At 38.0% G+C, this 19,832-nt stretch overlaps 1 protein-coding gene across 4 annotated transcripts in view, besides 1 other annotated feature; it reads left to right on the top strand.

The window, feature by feature from the left end:
• Positions 1 to 17,431, top strand: part of NCKAP1 (NCK associated protein 1) — a 129,343-nt gene extending 111,912 nt beyond the window's left edge. For all 4 annotated transcript variants that reach the window (NM_001437266.1, NM_013436.5, NM_001437267.1 and 1 more), the window contains one exon: positions 728 to 17,431. In NM_001437266.1, coding sequence (NP_001424195.1) covers positions 728 to 844 — 117 coding nt within the window. In that variant the 3' untranslated portion in view covers positions 845 to 17,431. The remainder of the gene's footprint in view (positions 1 to 727) is intronic.
• Positions 19,102 to 19,603: an enhancer, noted in NCBI's record as "NANOG-H3K27ac hESC enhancer chr2:183771671-183772172 (GRCh37/hg19 assembly coordinates)". NCBI's record gives its function as "activates a minimal SCP1, AML or CMV promoter by ChIP-STARR-seq in naive H9 embryonic stem cells {active_cell/tissue: H9 hESC(naive)}" and the evidence as "EXISTENCE:reporter gene assay evidence [ECO:0000049][PMID:30033119]".

Here is a 19,832-nt window from a genome sequence, read left to right as displayed (position 1 = left end):
TATTTTTCTAGTGTATTGGTGTCACCTCTCTTCCAGTTTTCTGAGTTTTCTACATTCTAACTCTATTCTGCCCATTTCTCGTAATTTTCTGTAATTCTCTGTGCCTAGTCACTTCCCTCTCTGCAGTATCTGTGAACCAGCTCTTGCTTGTTTCTACCACGTGGCTCTTTCCCCACTTAGAGTTATTTTCCTTACCTGCAGAAATTGGATTTATCCTAATGACTTAGCACATCCCACAGCTCAAATCTTTTTCCAGATAGTCTTTCTTGATTACTTTGGCCTACATTAATCTTTCTTCTGTTTTGAATTCTTACAGAATTTACAGCTTTCCATTTCATTATAGTCGGTCTTATGTTTGGTTTTGCTTCCTAGCTTAGTCTTTGATTGCCAGGTAGAGTTGATAGTACAAAAAAAAAATATTTTTGTATTGTCTTTTATTTCTAGTATATCAGTGAGGAAAATGAAAGTGCTCAATATATTCCTGTTGATTAAATAAATTTAATTGAAAAGTAGCTCTTTTTAAACAGTTTGATATACATTCACTGTGGCACATTTACATTTTAGATTAAGTAAAAGGAAAATAATATGTGTCTATTGCTAATAAGAACAATATAGAAGTTATGCCTTACTGGTTGTCAATAAATGTTCCCATTATAAATAACTTATGATTTTTGTTTATAAACAAGTTATAAATAACTTGTTTTGATGGATTTTTTGAATTTTACAGATTGTACAAGAATCTCCATTCCTTACAATGGATCTTTTGGAATCTTGTTTTCCTTATGTCTTGCTGAGAAATGCATACCATGCTGTCTACAAACAAAGTGTTACATCTTCTGCATAAAATTACCTACTTAATCAAGATAAGCACGCATTTTTGTTGCCTTGGTTTTACCTGTAGACTGTGGAACTATTTTACCTTAAGACCTGAAAAAGTTTTGTGGATTATAAATTTCTTTCATACGGTTGTATTTTCTGATCATTGGTTTCTTAATATGGTTGTACTACAGTATACTTGGTTGATTTAGGTTGCACATTCACTGAATTCACTGAGATTATTCCTATAATTTTAAAGTATCATTTATTTGAAAAACATACATTATCAACATGTTTTTGATATTTGATAATGAAAAAAATCTTTGCTTGTTTATTTCTGAAAAAGAACTGTATTTAGTGATTATTTTAGATAGTGATATTATAGTATTCATCTGTGTGTAAATTATTTCATATAGGGAAGAGTTCTGATCTGTACCTATGGTTCTTATTGAAAACAACATTGGATGTGCATTTCTGTGATGTTATGAATACATTTCTACTTTATTTTGAAACATTTGCCAAACTAAATACTGTAACACTGTATAACATTTAAAAATGTTAAAGAACTGCTTAGTATTAGAAGCAGATCATTTCCCAAAATTCTAAGAGCAGCAGCATATGTTGTTGCTTGTATAAAGCCTAGCGATAATTTTTAGACTAACTTCCATGGTGCCCTGTTGGCATTAGCACTACCATTGTACCCTGCTGTATAATAAACAATCTTAGACATTTATCAACTGTTGATACAAATGTTAGTCCCTAACCACTTTTTATATATGTTTTAAATTTTTGAAATTCAAGTGTACCTGCCATAACATAAAATAAACACTAGACTGTATCACACTTCGATTGATTTCTTTAAGATCCTTGGATATTCGTTCAATAATAATAAAGTTTTTGTTTAAACTTAGTTTGAAATATAAAAAATAATGGTTTAGGAATGTCTAAGTACAGCATTCGATACCAGGTCAGCTATTATATGATTTGTTTAAATGTTTTAAAAAACATTTTATTGAAAAAAATACCAAAATTAGAAAATAAAATTACACAATACTTCTTAAAAATTAAGAACTTAAAGAAAACTTGTATGCTGTCAACTTGCTCATTTTATCTGTAACCAAATAGAGTTATTTAAAAGAATAGGGAAAAAAAATTGAGTGATCATGGGACTAGTGAGAATGTTGAGAACTGCTGCATTAGTCAGTAATGAATGGGAAAGACATAAAAGGGCCTATTGCTTAATAGTTGGCATGGAGGGCAAAGCAGCTCATTTAGTTTGAAAACTAACCCAATGTTTTGCTCTTTGATTGGCATTGTTGAGGCTGTTTCTCAGCAGCTTTGTATATGAATATCATAAAGAGCTTCTGTTCACAGCTTCTTATGTATACACTGGTAACTTGTGTTAAGATAAAAGAAGGCTGCTGTGAACTCAGTTATAATGTTTTTCTTTCTTCAAACATAGAGAGTAGAATGAAATTGAAGTACTATGAGATTATGCTATTATTTTGTGTATGATTTGTCCAGCCTATATTTAAAGTAGGGAGTAGTTGTCACTATCTGTCGAAAAATTGTACTTGTTCCATAAAGATTTTTTAAAAAGGGAAATTTTAAAATGGCATAGTTCAGACCTGAAATAGTCTGATTTACACAGTGAGCAGTCAAAACTAAGATTTAATGCCGTTTGTTTTGAAATATTAGGATCTTAGAGAGGTAATAACTTTGTTGGCAGTGATCTCTGGAGAGGTAAAGTAGGAATTTGGATATGTACACTTTGGAATCATATGTGAAAGGGCATAAGGATGAAAATAAGGCATTCTCTACCACTGCTAGGCTGAGAAAAAAATCGCTCCTCATAGTCACCTGAAGTTTTTGTCCAAATTTTTTCTCATACAGCAAAGGCGGGGGAGGAGGCGTGGCAAAGGTAACTTGGAGGAAAAAGTTAAAAGTAAATTGACAACTACTATTTTTAATATCTTGTTTGTTTTATTTTCTTCTAAACTTACACAACAACATACTATTTTTGTTGTTTTCTCTACATTAATGTGATCATACCATACATACTGGCCTGTAATCTGCTTATTTCACTCAGTAGTAGAAAAAATGTCTTTAATATTCTTTTTAATACCTTTATAGATACCATAACTAATTTAACAATTTCATGGCCAGGCGTAGTGGCACACGCCTATTTCAGCACTTTGGGAGGCCAAGGCGGATGGATCACTTGAGGTCAGGAGTTCAACACCAGCCTGGCCAACATGGCAAAACCCTGACACTACTAAAAATACAAAAATTACCCAGGTATGATGGTGCACACCTATCATCCTGGCTACATGGGAGGCTGAGGTGGAAGAATTGTTTGAACCCGGAAGGAGGAGGTTGCTGTGAGCTGAGATCACACCACTGCACTCCAGCCTGGATGACAGAATGAGACTGTCTCAAAAAAAAAAAGAAAATACTCATTTGGATAGATTGGATAGATTTTTAGACAATTTCTTTTCATTATTATAAATGTATATCTATATCTTGGTAAAGTTGACCTGTTATTTTTTTAGAATAATTTTTCAGAAGTAAAATTGCTTCCTTTCTGCTGCTTTTTCATTCACTTATTTAAGCAAGTATTTTTAGATGCCTGCATGTAATGGTGAGCAAAAAGGTGACCCTTTTATAGTTGAGCTTGGATTTTAGTGATGGTATACAATAAACAAACCAGCTTCTTGAGACGGAGTTTCACTCTTGTTGCCCAGGAAATGGGCAATGGCCTGATCTCGGCTCACTGTAACCTCCGCCTCCCGGGTTCAAGCAATTCTCCCATCTCAGCCTCCTGAGTAGCTGAGATTACAGGCGCCCGCCACTACGCCCAGTTAATTTTTGGTATTTTTAGTAGAGATGGGGTTTTACCATGTTGGCCAGGCTGGTCTCGAACTCCTGACCTCAGGTGATCCACCCACCTCAGCCTCCCAAAGTGCTGGGATTACAGGCATGAGCCACCACGCCCAGCCATGAGCAAACTTCTGATGGTGACTGGAAAGTATACAGGATAATGTGGGGAGGCAGTGGTGAAACTACTTTAGAAGAAAGTGTTAGAAGAAAGTGTCATCTGTGTAAGAGAAAACATTTGAGCTGGTACGTGAAGGATTAGAAGGAACCACAAGTGGGCTGAGGGGAGGAATAATAAAGGCAAAGACCCAGAAGGCAAGCACAAACTTGGCATGTTTGAGAAGTTAGAAGTGTGTCATCTGTGTCTCTGTCATGAGGAGTGCTCAAGTTCCCTCTAGGAGCCTTATGGGCTATCTAGCTCTTTTTCTCTTCTGATCATGTGCTTGCTTGCTTTCTTCTTTGCTTATATAGCAGAGTTCACAAATTAAATCTAATGTAGGCTGGTTAATAAAGGAAATGAACATGAATTCACTGATAGGCTCTTGCATTAATGTGAAAATGTAAAGTCTGTTGTACACCATCAGGCCTTCTAAATGAAGCCCAAATTCTGTAAGGTAGTGAATTGTAACCTACTGATTAGTACATGATCCATGCCCATTCTGTTATAAGGACTTGCCTTTCTGAGACTTCACCTGTATTATTCCTAAGACTTTTGTGAATAATCCTTAAAGTAGTGACTCCTTACATCTTTCTTTCATTTCTTCTTTGTAGTCACTTGAAATGACAGCATGAACCATCATTTCATTTGAAGGCCTGAGCCTGAATTTTCAAATAGACAAAATGCTCTCTTTCTCCGAAGATTTGCCATGACCTCTGCCTTTGGGAAAAAATATTTGAGATTTTAAAATTTTTATTCTGTAGTACAAAAATTATGTTTTTCGTTAATTGGTCCTGTGGAATTGGAAGGAAATTTAATATTTATTGACTCTACTTTGGTATTATTTTCAGAGTGAGAAGTAACTTTAAGTGTATTAAAATTTCATTCATTTTTGCATGAACCAAACTTTCCCTACACATCGCTGTCCTTGACTGTCCAGAGTAAACATGTCTAACTCTGGAATGTTTCATTTCCAATAAAAGTATTCAGCCTGTCATTTTGGGCCTAAGTAAAATGGGATAAATTAGCAATCTGAAGTTAGGATCCTAGCCACAGAGGGCCATGTCTCATTTCTGGTTTAAGTGCACCCCTCATCCCCAGCCCTTACCTTCTTCTTTCTCTTAAGGATTGAGACAATCCTCTTGGTGCTCTTGGTGCAGGTGCATCTTGGTCACCTCTTACATGAGGGCCACAAACTTGGTAAATGGGTGGCCTGGAGATGGGGTTGTACTAGGTATGTGACCTTGGTGATTGCCTTGTCTCAGTTGTAGTATATGGCTGAGTCACATTCATAGTACACTACATACACATACTGACCAAATGCCAATGGCTAAGGCTTGAAATTATTTCACCAAGACCTAAACTGAAGATTACCATCATAAAATAAGCTTCTAGAATCCATGAATAAGTAGGAAATCATATTTAAAATTTACTGTAATTTTATTAAAGCTCATTTTTTAAATTTAATGCAGTGCAGAGTCATTAATTTCTCAGCAGTATCAGGTGCTAAATTGCTCACTCATTAAACTACTAATTTAAGATAGTTATTTTAAATTATAGAACAGGAAGCAACTTACGAGGTTGCAACCAAATTATATTTATTTTTTCTCCATTAGTAACTGACTAAAAGTGTTTTCTTCAACTCTGGGATTTGAAGATTTTGTGGTCAGTGGTGATATAATTTCACTGAAGCGTGCTCACAGACTAAAACTGTGCACTACTCAGTGATGCGTCCTGAATGTTTTCAGAGACAAACCTAAGATAATGTTGCCCTTGTTTACTTTCATTATTTCTGATTTTTTTTTTATGCATGTGTTTGCTGCATCACACAATTACTTAAGAAGTTGTCCCTAACCTTTGTGCTGTGGTCTGAATGTTTGTGTCCCCCTGGCCACAAAATTCATATGTTGAAATCTGATCATCAGTGTGACAGGATGTGGGGCCTTTGGGAGGTGATTAGGTCATGAGAGTGGAGCCTTCATGAATGGGATTAATGCCCTCGTAAAAGGGGCCCCAGACAGCCGACTTGCCCCAACCACCACGTGAGGACAAAGCAAGAAGCCACTGTTCATGAACCAGAAAGCAGACCCTCCACAAACACCAAATATGCCAGCACACTGATTGGCTTCCCAGCCTCCAGAACTATAAGCAAGAAGTTTTTTTATAGTAACAAATTTATTGTTCACAGTTCTTGCTTATAAACTTTATAAACCAGACTAAGGCATTTCGTTATAGCAGCCCACACGGACTCATATTTTGGTTCTAGAAATGTGACACTGGAATGATGTGGCTCTCAAGATGACAGTGTTGCTTCTGAATGTCTATGTTCATGTCATCTTTAATTGCATGAACACCAGTTTTAGCATCTTCCCTTGAGTAGAAAGAGATTCTCTACAGCAAGTATTACGTAAGAAGTACTGGTGGCCAGGCACAGTGGTTCACGCCTGTAATCCCAACACTTTGAGAGGCGGAGCCAGAGGTATCATTTGAGCCTAGAAGTTCGAGAGCAGCCTGGGCAATATGTCTAAACCCCATCTCTACAAAAAAAATACAAAAATGAAAAAGCCGGGTGTGATTGTGTACACCTGTAGTCCCAGCAACTTGAGAAGCTGAGGTGGCAGGATTGCTTGAGCCCAAGGGGAGGGTTGGCGGCAGTGGGTGGTTCGAGGCTGCAGTGAGCCATGATTATACCAGTGCGCTCCAGCCTAGGTGACAGAGCAAGAGCCGGTCTCGATAATAATTAAGGCCAGACGCGGTGGCTCACTCCTGTGATCCCAGCACTTTGGGAGGCCAAGGTGGATGGATCACCTGAGGTCAAGAGATTGAGACCAACCTGGCCAACATGGTGAAACCCTGTCTCTACTAAAAATACAAAAATTAGCTGGGCTTTGTGGCTCGCGCCTGTAATCCCAGCTACTCAGGAGGCTGAGGCGGGAGAATCGCTTGAACCCAGGAGGCGGAGATTGCAGTGAGCCGAGATCATGCCACTGCACTCCAGCCTGGGCAACAGAACAAGACTCTGTCTCAAAAAAAAAAAAAATTATAATACATTAAAAAAAAAAAGCACTTGCATTCTGAAGGCATATTCACCCTTGAACTGATAGCATTCAATGTATAAAACACATGAGTTTCACTCCAAGTTACATATAGAATGTTTATCTTTATTTGAGAGGAAATATCCAGTTAATAATCAGAATGTCATACTAATTAGGTATGACCATAACTTACGTTAGTCACATGGTCATTGATTGCATGCAGATTCTGGCTGCCAGAAAGCACATTGAAGTAGGTAGTCATTTAACCATTTAACTGTTAGATCTTGCAAAGGTTGAAGCTGAAGCTGAGGAGCAGGTAGTACACAACTTTACAGGTTAATGCTGAATGTCAGTTCATTCTGAATTCTTACCTTCAGCCAAAAGGTACAAGGGTCTTTGCAGTCTGAAGCAAGGCCCAGATGGCAGAACTTGTGATGGCTAGGAGGGGAAAATTTGACCTTAACTGGTAGTTGTGGTTTTATCAAGCCAAAAATGCTGACTAGAATAATAATGAGAGCTAATGTTTATTGAAAGCCCATTGTGTACCAGATACTCTGTTTTCTCTAATTCAAACCTCTAAATATTGCTCTTTTAGTCTTCACAGTAATCCTATATCATGATGACCCCCATTTATTGATATGGAAACTGAAGCTCAGGAAAGACAAAGCAATTTTTACAAACTCACACTACAAGGAAGTAGCAGAGGCCAACATTTAAATCTGGCCCCAGAGTTGTGTTCTTCTCATTAAACTGTGTCTCAGATCTCTCAAATGTGAGTGTGGACTTTTCTAACCAATAGCATTTTTTAATTAATGTTTTAAAAATTTGAATAGCTTTTAGGGTACAGTGGGTTTTTGTTTACATGGATGAATCATACATTGGTGAAGTCTGAGGTTTTAGTGTACCTGTCACCCAGGTAGTATGCATTGTACCCAATGTGTAGTTTTTTATCCCTAGACCCGTTCCCATCCTCCCACTTCTGAGTCTCCAAAGTCCATGATATCACTCTGTATGCCTTTGCATACACATAGCTTAGCTCCCACTTACAAGTGAGAACATACGGTATTTGGTTTTCTGTTCCTGAGTTACTTTGCTTAGAATAATGGCCTCTGGCTCCATCATAGTTGCTGCAAAAAGACATTGTTTCTTTTTTTATGGCTGAACAGTATTCCGTGGTGTGTATATATACCACACTTTCTTTGTCCACTCATTGGTCAGTGGGCACTTAGGTTGGTTCCATATCTTTGCAGTTATGAATTGTGCTGCAATAAATATACACATGCAGATTTTTTTTGATATATTGACTTCCTTTGGGTAGATACCCAGTAGTAGGATTGCTGGATCAAATTCTATCCAGTAGCATTTGAAACTGCTTTACATTAACAATGAGGGACAAAAAAAATAACAATGAGGGCTTACATTATGCTACTCTTGATACTAGACATTTTCATATCCATTACTTCATTTAAACTCCACAACCAAATTACTCAATAGGGATTGTTTTCTTTATTTTTGTAAATGAATGTGGAAACCAGCTCATAAAACTTTAAATTCCTTGCCCCAGTGTCATAAAATTACTGAGTTTGAGTGGCAGTGCTGAGATTAAAACCTAAGGCTCTAGGATTTCCAGCCCATATTTTTTCTACTGTATCATGTTCTTTCCCAAAGCACTAAAAAACATTTCCTGGGTAAATGACTGTGGGCTTGGGGACACTATGCCCACTTTCTGGCCTTCATGGGTCTAAGTTGCTTCTTTGCTTCTTCACTTTTTCTCTCTGATCCTGCTCAGATTAATCTCTAGTAAATCAGATTTCTTTCCTAGGCTGTCTTATCCCACATATATAGTAGATAATATGTCACATATTTGTGAATGTTAAAAATATTTGTTTTAGTTTTAAATCTCAAGCTCACACAGTACTTACTCTCTATGTTAACAAAAATGGTTTTTACTATTTTCTGAAGGTAACGCAGCTGTTGAAGTGAGATCCTACACTGGAACATACAACACTTGGTCTAATATTAAAGTTCGTGCCAAGAGCTCTCTAAATGTGATTGATGGATTAATTCTGCCTTTATGAAAGATGAACTTATTTTCAAGATAATAGCTAATTCTTGAATGGGCAACCTATTATGTATCAATGATTGTAATGATGGAGCATTTTAGTCATTTGTAGCTGGAAGAGCCTTAGAGATTATCTGGTTCAACCTATTCAAGAGTTAGGTAATTTAACCAAATTAACATATGTGGCGATGTGCTCATATAGTGTTCCTTCCACTGTGCTGTGTTGCCGCATATATGCTGATCTTATGTTTATGCAGTAATAGTCTTCATAATGATAAACAGCTACTGGTTCCTGGTAGGATTTTGGACGTGGATATGACTTGAAGTATGATGCCACAGCCTCAAACAAATCTGGGGTTTGAATCCCAGCTCTGTCACTTATGGACAAATTACTTAACTTCTCCAAGTTTGTTTCCCTAAGTGTAGAATGTGGATAATATCTACTTTAAAGGGCTATTGTAAGCATTAAAATAAGATCATGCGTATAAATTGATGAGATGGTGGGGAAGAAGAGGCTACCACAAAGTAGGCATTCAGTGTAAATGGTGGTAGTTTCTCCAGTATTATTAGGCTATTTGGTTTCACTTATAAAATTGCCTTCAAAGAGTTTTTTCATGGCTTTTATGAGTATTATAATATCAGAACTTCCACTCATGCAAATGTAACATTTGTGTGTTAGTCTATTCTATAGCTCTGATCGGAGTCTTTATCTTAAATGGGAAAGATTATTTTCCCTGTCATGTAACTTTAACAGAAAACGATGCTAAAATTAATTTTAAGACTGCTCTATACTATATGTATGTTATACTATATTTTTATATACTATACACAAAAATGTATAAGATGTAAAGCTTGTATTTTCAAATGTTATTGCAGTATCCAGAACAATTGCGACAATTGCTCTTGGAAGCTTCTGTGCTTTTCCACATGCTGTTCCCTGTCTCTGGAATGGAATGTTCTCTTATTCTGGCTGGCAAACTCCTGAACATAATGTAAACAGTAAGCTCAAACATCACTTGCCCTTTCCTTACCATGCCATCCTGTTTCTTCTAAACCTTATAAATGCCTTTATTATAGTACATATTGAATCATAATGTAATTATTATTTATCTCTGACTCCTTTGATTCTGGGACTGCCTTGAGGTCACGGTCTAGGTTTATTTCATCTTTCTGTCTGTTTAGTCAAATTTCCTACCCTGTGTAACTCTCAGAATCTTACTTTAAGTTAGGAAAGGCCAGTGGCTGGACAGATGCTACAGACCTCCATTGGTACAGATGCCCTTAGCTTCATGTTGGGAACAAGTGGTTCTGTTTCTTTTTGTTCCTGTGGAGAAGCATCAGAGATACAGGCAGCTGGGGATTTCTACACCTGTAATAGCAGCAGCTCAGTGATGACACAGAGACATGTTTTTTTTTTTTTTTTTTTTTTGACAGAAGGCGAAGGGGAAGCAAGGTACTTCTTACATGGCAGAGGGAAAAGGAGAGTTGGAGTGGGGGAGGGGGAGAGGGAGGAGCAGGAGCAGGGAGACGGGGAGGGAGAGGAAACTGCCCCGAAGACATGGTTTCTAAGATTTCTCCCAATGAGACAAATCACTTGTCTGGGATGTCAGGGGGAGAAGATGCAGAATCTGAGCCCCTTGTATAAATAGACAAAAGGTGAAAGCATTGGCAATAGATCAAAAAGGCATTCCACGTAGCAAAAAAATTATTTTTAAATCTGAAAATTTAAGTGAAATGCCAAGAGCAAAGAAGAGAGGCCATCAGAAAAATTTCAAAGTGACTACTCAGGTCATTGTCCTGAAATAAATGATCATTTTATTCTGGTGACTCACCCCTAGCTAGAGTCAGTACTTCATAGAAAAGACAGGAGCTGTGAGACACTTAACTGTAATCTTACCCCTTTACAGAAATGCCTCCTATAGTCAAGCTGGTCTGATGATCTCATGTCATCATGCACAAGGATTAGCAAGCCTTGAAATTTTATCCTGTCAGTGTAACTCCTCATCTAGTCTCAAGATTGCACTGGCAGTTCTTTCGCAGCTGATCGTACAGGGAGGACCAATAAGGCTCATAGAACACCCTTGGAGAATGAATGCCTCTGCTGCTGGAGGTCACAGCACCCAGAAAGTGACTAGAGGGAGCAGCTGATACCTGCTCTAGTGAGTTGTGCTATTCCTGTCACATCCTTGCAGAGGTCCAAGGGTTGCTGGCAAGTGAAGGAATATCATGCCTGTAGTTTGAAGGATAGATCACTCAACTCTCAACTATTCTCTCTTCAGCTGTGAACCATACAACGTTTTTGAAAAGCAAAGTCTGAACATTTGCATTCTATACAGAATATTACAGTTGGAAAATAGGTGTGGTGTCTAGAGAAATGCTTCTAAATGCTGCAAGCCACCCTATGTGAAGCCTAGTCTAGAAATCTGCTTTGCTTCATTTATTAACTTCATTGTATCTTTGGAAGTAGAAGTTCTTAAAAGTGTGTACAGAAGATGAGTCCTCAGCATGAGTTTCACTGCCTGTCTGTGTGAGAGGAAGTGACCTTGAGAGCAGCTGTAGCCCTAGGGGGACACCCAGGTAGAGGTGCTCACAACATGCTCTGACACCCGGTATGGCTGCATTCCCAGCTTAAATGATCACATCTGCTCTTGGTTTTTTCACTGTTTACAAAATCTGATTTCTTTAAAGGGAAGGGATGGAAAAGGTAGTCAATGCTCCTCTGAGCACCCAAAGCATCCCTCCACAAGAACAAAGAGGAAAAATCATTACTTGCTCCCAACATTACACAAAGCGCATCTCTACCAATGGAACTCTGCAGTGTCGGTCTAGCCATCAGCCTTTCCCACCTCACAGCATATTTTCTGTGGGGGTAATTTATTAGAGGGGAATTTGTTCCTTTTTACTCTTTTTACTCTTCAAATTAGTAATAGAACCCCTCATGTCATTCTAAGTGACTTAAGTTTTAAAGGGAACCAGAAAAGGAGAGAATATGCTATTGTGGCACTTCTAAAATGCAGAGTGTCCTCAAAGATGGTTATAGTGGGTAATGGGTTTCATATAAATTGCATACTAGAGTATCTCCATTTCCTCTTTTAATTTTTTAATTGGTTTTTTAAAGCTTGATATGCTGAGTTAGTTTTCATTTAAAAACAATGCTTGAGTAGGAAAGTTAAAGAAATAGAAATTGCCTGTTTTAATCTATTCATCCTGGCAGCAGGTATGTATTGTATCTGTCCAGAGTCCAAAACGTCAGCTCCCTCCACTTGCCTTCCCCATTTCACATAAACTATAAAAGTTAGAAATAATATATTATGTCATATCCTAACATCAGTTCAATGAATATAGTTTTTAAAATACCTACTATGTGCTAGATACTGAGGACAGAATGATAAAATACAAAACAAAGCTAACTAAAAACACAGTTTAACTAGTCTTGTCTACGATTACCTGCCCTAACTATAACTTCATTTAAGGGGAGATACTGCTAAAGGGAGTTCCTTCTGTGACTGCACACTCTGATACCAATATGTGACTTCTCCCTGGCTACAACTGATTAAATGAGGGAAGAAAACTGATCCAAGGGGAGTTAGTCCAATAGCTTGTAAATGGTGGGTTCTTATCAGAGTTTTCTCACTAAGTTAGAACCAAGAGGCTGAGGGTTGTGGGGGCTACTTAAGCAGAAAGTTTCATGGAGTATGGACTGTGCACCATTGTGAAGTTTCCTGTATTTCCACAGGCTGTGGGGGCAGAGAGCATCAGAGTGCTGATCAGGAAAAAAGAATGAGGCAGATGCAGACAGAGAAGCAAAGAAGCATGAGAGGATGAGAATTAGGAAGTAGACTCTTTTTTCATTTTAATTAATTTGACTAGATTATATTTCTTGCAATCAAAAGGGCCCTGTGCAGAGAAGGTCCTTATCTTCGTTCATTTTTTGTTGCTATAGCTGAATACCCGAGACTGGGTAATTTATAAAGTAAAGAAATTTATTGCTTACCATTTTAGATGCTGGGAAGTACAAGGTCAAGGGTTCTCATCTAGTGAGGGCCTTCTTGCTAGTGGGGTCTCTGTAGAGTCCTGAGGTAACACAGAGCATCACATGGTGTGGGGGTGGGATTCACCAGAGAGAGCCAAACTGACTTTTATAACAGACTCACTTTTGTGGTAACTAACCCACTCCCTTGATAGCCCATCAATCCATTAATCTAGAAATAAATTCATTCACTCATGAGGGCAGAGCTCTTGTGAACCAATCACCTCCCAGAAGTCCCACCTCTCAACACTGCTGCACTGGGGACCAAATTTCCAACACATGAACTTTTCGGGGACACATTCAAGCCACAACAGTCCTCAATAAATATTTGTTGAATCAATAAATACACAGGACATAGTGTCCTAAATGCTTGGCATGTACATGAACCAGATTTGGTCCTTGATGTCACAGAGCTTATAATATAGTGGAGGAGACAGACTTTACATGTTTGATCTTGACTGTAAAACTAGGGTCACTACTCATCATCTGATGAAGGAGGCAGACAGTAAAACAAATAACAACTATTCAACATGGTAACGTCAAAACTGAACAGAGGCTCAAGTGAAAGTTTCAATGATAGTAACCATGGCCAATGGATAGGTGAATGCATTGGAAAATTAGTATGATGCCATTAGCAAAAACATAAATTGCACTTAACTAAAGTTCATCTGGCTGAATTCTTTCCTTCCTTCCTTCCTTCCTTCCTTCCTTCCTTCCTTTCTTCCTCTATCTTTCTTTGGTTTTGAGATCTGTCTATAGTATTGTGCTAGTGCACATATTTTAATTTGGTGCAAGGCATGCTTAACAGAGTAAGTGAAAAGCTATAAAGGTTAGAGCGTGTATTAGTTTCAATGACGAAGGAGTAATAAATCATTTTGTCAGGTTGCACTCTAACATTCAAATTCCATTTTTATTATGGCTAACTAGCCAAGCATTTATAATTCTGAACTCCACAGAATGGGGAAAAAGTGTATTAACTTATAATAGATCATTGAGCTTGTTAAATGTACCTTTCCTAATTCGTACTTTTTCCCTTTTGCTGAGAAAAATGCCTTTCTGAATATATAATTTTTACAGGTCATTGGAAAGGAGTACTGCACAACAGGATTATTATAATGTGCTAAAAGATGGCACTTGTATCTCATTGCCACATAGAGAGCTCATGTGAAAACTCTTTGATCTTTGCTGGCTTTTTAGCTGAAAAGATTTGGAAATCTTTTTGGCACTGGCAAAAACAGAACTGTGGTAACTGTTTATAGTTGGTTGATTTTTAGCAATGGGTAAGAATGTCTTTGTTGAATCCAGTTTATTAATACGTAATGGGCAACATGTTGCCTTAAAGGCAAAAGCATATTTTTCTCATATCAAAAAGCTCCCTAAATTTTTGCCAATATCCAAAGATATTTTAAGATGGTCTTCATTTTCTTTTTCAGTCTGTCCTATGCTGAGAAAAAAAAATTACAACCTCTGAACTTCAGCAGTTTTTTAGGTAAAAGGAATTTTTCATGATGTGATTGATATAACTACTCAGCTGGACATAAGCTTTCAAGGGCTAAGTCCATTTGCCGATTTGTTTGCATTTCCTACTCCAACTAAAATAATTCAAAGACATGAAGTGTCTATTGTGGAAAATGCATGAATAATGCAAAAGTCATTCTCAAGTGACCTATCAGAAAGGCCTACCAGAAATGCAGTTACTGCTTTCTAATAAAATCATGAAAAACTTTTTTAAAAAGTATAACCATCTTGAATTTGTTGAGGCAATTATAAGAGAGTATATAAGGGCAAGTTTCTCCAAAAGCGGTTCTGTTTGTTTTGTTTTTTTTTAATAATTCCCATCAACAGCAATCTGTTTTCTCATTGTAGTAGTATAGGTGTTAACATAAAAGCTCAAACAGCTTGGGAGAAAAAAAAGGATATAGCAAACCTAACTGATAACTTTGCTAGTTTCAAATCATTATGATGGCCATTCATAGATGACTGAAATATTTAACATTTGAAGTAACAGAATTTTGACTTATGTTTTCATGGTTTAAGAGTTTATATTTCAAATTTTTTCACATAGTCTGTTTATAACAGTATATAAAACATGTATTAACTATATAAGTTAATAAAGTCATGAACTGATGGCCATTTTTTGGTCTTATTCATATAGTATAGGCTGTTTTGTGAATTAATCCCCTTCCCATGTGTTTGAATTCCCCACTATGTAAGGCTTAGTGGTGTTAGCATGATCCAAGGGTGGGATTTTCAGCCCTCTGACATCAAAAGGTGAAGCAGAGGACACAAAAACCCTCACTGCATCTTCCCTAGACTGGCCAGAACCACTCCATGGTCAGTGGACTCCCTTAATAGGAAGGAATGCTGGTCAGTTGTCAAAGAGCAAAAAGGGAGGGGTAGTCATGAGGTTGGTTGTAATCAGAGGTGCAACAGGTCTTTCCAAAGGGCTGGTTTCTGTTTAACTCTTAGGAAAGAACACCTAATGGTAGTTAGTGAGGAGGGGGTATAATGAGATGTGCCCAACCTCCCATCCCATCATGGCCGGGAACTCAGTTTTTAAGGTTTCCCTGAAGTCCTCTTGGCCAGGAGAGGGTCTGTTTAGTCAAATGTGGGGGGGGAGCTTAGGATTTTATTTTTATTTCCAAGTTATAATGTTGGACCATCAGAGCATGAATACAGGTTGAGTCTTTAATCTGTAAATACTTAGCAATCACCTTCTTCTCAGTAACTTTCTCTGAAGGTTGCTGATAAGCCAGTGTTCTTGATGTTTGCCCACTTACCCCTCAAGATGAGGAGTGAAGAAATTAGATTGCATTGCCAGGAATTTCCTAGAAGAAAAGGTTTTGAGGATGCATGACCTATGAGGGTGCTGAGGACCCCTTTCCACCAAACATGGACTAACTTCTGGGTTGCTCTTTCACATCTATTGTCTTGTTCGACGTACACAGAAGTGCAGAGCACAGCCGCAGCCCTCACAGCATCATCTATCTAGGTTCTGAATCCTGAATGGTCTGAGGCTCTCCTAGAGCTGAGATTCTCCTTTGCAGTTCCAGTGGAGAAAAGCACTTTCTTTGCCGAGGCAGTGTAACTTCCTTGTTCCCAAGGCTCCAACTGTTGTGGGCACATATGAGTATACATTAACATCCATGCCCAATTTATAATCACTGTTTTCCCCACATGTGTACTCAGACCTCCAAGCTTCTGAAAAATATTTCCTCTCATCTCTCAAAGAATTTTAGTACATTTGCCTGGATGCAGAAACACAAATCATGCTGGCTTTCCTACTCAATCAAAAACTGTAGCTTGAGTGGGGTGGCAAGGGTTGTCCCACAGCAGGTTTACTTGGACTCCAAAATGATGTAGAGTTTAGTGAGGCAGCTCCTTGAGTTTGAACTTAGAGCCCTTTTGGCTACCAGGGCACCTGCAGTCCTCCAAGATAGTAGAGTCTGAACCAGTTAAAGAGCCAGCTACCACAGCTTTGCAGAAACCACTGTTTCTCCTTAACTCTAGGGCTCAGCGGTTGAACTCCTTAGAATAAAACTTTCTGTCTGCGACCCTATCATTTTCTTTTGTATTTTGGCCTTCACTGAATTCCCACCCCATCCATTCCAACAGACTTGGTTATACGTGTCTGAACACCAAATGTGACAGAATTTGTGGCCTTGGATCAGGAGGCTATTTGGCCCTTATCTAAATCGGTGGCTGAGAATGGATTCCAGGGAAGTGTTTTTCTTAGGAGTACCCAAGAAGCTCAGCTCAGGTTGGGCTCCCTGTTCTATTCTGAGAACTACAAATCAAATTCAAAATGGAGCACAGAAAATTCTCATTTCTAGTTGACTTATTTGTATTTTGGTGTCCTGTGCCCTAAATATCTTCTCAAGGAAACCTTGGCTTTAAAAGTGATTGTTTACTTAAACAAATAAAACAACAACATACAAGAAAAGGCAGTAAATCCGAGCGTCCATCAACAAATGAATCAAAAAACAAATGAGATATATATGTACGGTGGCATATTATTCAGCCTTAAAAAGGAAAGAAATTTTGACACATGAGACAATATGAATGAACCTTGAAGACATTAATTATGCTGAGTGAAATAAGCCAGCCACAAAAGAACAGATATTGTATAATTCCTCTTATATTAGGTACCTAAAATAGTCAAATTGATAGAAAGTAGAATGTTGGTTGGCAGGGGCTGGCAAGGAGAGGGAAATGAAGAGAAGGTGTATGAAGGGAACAGAGTTTCAGTTGGGGAAGACGAAAAAGTTCTGACAGTGGATGATGGTGGTTGTTGCACAGCAACATGAATGTACTTAATGCCACAGAACTGTATGCTTAAAAATGGTTGAAACGGTAAATTTGATATAATGTGTATTGAACCTATTTCCAGATCAAAACAGAGAGATCTACATTCCTTTTGGTGGTGTCAAAATAAACCATTATCTTGAAATAGCCTAAATGTGTTATGTGTCCTATTGAACAGTCCGATTGCATTCTTCAAAAAAATACAGTAGTGAACATCTGAATATATATATTTGAGCACTTGGATAAATATATATGCTTTAAAAAGTCCCAGAAATGTGGTACATTATCATATAACAGTTGTACCAGTTGACACTCCCATCTGCGATATATGATCCCTGTGTCCTCATGGTCCAGCAATGGATATTATCCAATTTTTTAACCTCTGTCGATTGGATAGATGAAAAATATTGTCTGAGTGAGGTTGAACATCTTTTTTGTATGTTTATTGACTTGTAAGAGGTCACTTATTAACAAAATGTACACATATTAATGAAATTGTTTTTGTCTATCACATATTTGGCAAATGTTTTCTAAACTTATCATTTGTCTTTATTTTTTTTTTAGCCATACAGAACTTTTAAATAGTTAGGCTGACGAACTATATCCAGTTTTTCAAGATTAAAAAAATTCCCCATTTTGGCCGGGTGCAGTGGCTCACGCCTGTAATCCCAGCATTTTGGGAGGCTAAGGCAGGCGGATTGCGAGGTCAGGAGATTGAGACCATGCTGGCTAACACGGTGAAACCCTGTCTCTGCTAAAAATACAAAAAATTAGCTGGGCGTAGTGGCGGGCACCTGCAGTCCCAGCTACTCAGGAGGCTGAGGCAGGAGAATGGCATGAAACTGGGAGGTGGAGCTTGCAGCGAGCCAAGATCACACCACTGTACTCCAGCCTGGGCAACAGAGCGAGACTCTGTCTCAAAAAAAAAAAAAATTCCCCATGTGGGTTTTATTCTTTTTTTTTTTTTTTTTTTTTTCTGAGAAAGGGTCTCTCTGTCCCCAGGCTGGAGTGCATGTCATGGTCTTGGCTCACTGCAGCCTCGACTTCTTGGGCTCAATGATCCTCCCCACTCAGCCCCTCAAGTAGGTGTTACTATAGGCGTGCGCCACCACCAACTAATTTTTATTTTTTTATTTTTTATTTGTAGAGATGGGGTCTCACCATGTTGCCTCATCCTGCCTTGTGCTCCTGGGTGCAAGTGATCTGCCCACCTGGGCCTCCCAAAGTGCTGGGATTGCAGACATGAGCCACTGCAGCCAGCCTAGGTCTAATATTTATATACATGTGTGCTTTTTCCTGGGGAAATAGTTTCTATTGTTTATCGGATTGTCAAATGGAAGGGAAAAAATTAAGAATAATTGCATTGCATGACATGTAAAATATTTGTTGAATGAATGCTTGCAGGAGACTGTATTTCCTCTTCAAAGATTTCTTTCAATCTCTATATACCATCTCTTCTTGAAAGATTTTTCCATTAGTAACTTCCAGTTAACAGTCTGTTGTTTTATTGTCAGATGTGTAAATATTTTAAAAATTGTTTCTTAGCACTTCCTGTTCCCTTTTTTTTGGAATCTTTCAAGTTTGAGAGGCAAAAGTACTCCTCAAGGCTGGAGAAGCTACTTGGTTGGGTTGTGGCCTACTGTGGTGCCATTGATTTCCCCAAACATTAAGTCCTTGCTGAGCCTCAGCCAAAATCAACAGCCGTCATGTCTTCAATTACCTTGGAGCCCAGGCTGCCACGGGGAAACAGGGGTCACATTCAGCCTTACTTGGCTCCTTAAGCAGCGACACTATCTGTGACTAAGCAAGTGACTGGTGCGATGGGGGAGGAGGGATGTAATGGTGGAGCTGTGAAAACTTGCAAATGTGATCACCAAACTTTTAATCAATCTAGAAGGAAGCTTTTTTTTTTCTCCCTAAGTATTTGAAGTGCCCACTGGTGTCTTTGGGGTTGGGGAATTAACATAACTTCCTTCTCTCACAGTCCTGTCTTCCAGTCTCCCAGTGGGGTTTCTCTTTGAAATAAGAGTTGTGTGTGTGGAAAGGATTCAGAAACAAGGCTTGGAAGCCAAGAAGAAAGGCAACCGGCCTTCCTCTCCAACGAGTAACCAAATACAGCTGTAACTTTAGACGGGGGTGCTTGGGAAAAGGATTTTTATTATTTTTTTTATTATTTTTTTAAAAGTAAGTGTACATTGCTGAGAAAAGAATCTAAAATGTAGCTTAGGAAATCTAGCTTTGATGCTATAGTTCAATATATTATGCAAAATTTAATAAGATAGCTGATTTTTTTTTCCTTAGGAAAAGAAAGCTCACAATTAACAACTGAAAAAAAAAAAAAAAAACCTAAAGGATAAAATACCAACTTAGAAATACAAACCAGAGATTCCCAACCATCCAGAAGGTACAATATAGCTACAAGCAAAAAGAAAAGGAAAAAAAGAAAAAAGCAAATTTTCAGGTCCAAGCATATTTTTGAAAACCTGTTTCCATTTCCTTCTATATTAACTAAAGTCAGTTTGAGCAACTATTAAAGGAAGTTAAAATTCT

The sequence above is a fragment of the Homo sapiens genome, chromosome 2 (genome assembly GCF_000001405.40).
Source record: "Homo sapiens chromosome 2, GRCh38.p14 Primary Assembly".
Classification (NCBI taxonomy): Eukaryota; Metazoa; Chordata; class Mammalia; order Primates; family Hominidae; genus Homo; species Homo sapiens.
Note: the sequence above shows the minus strand (reverse complement) of the source record. Positions and strands in the feature narration are given on the sequence as shown.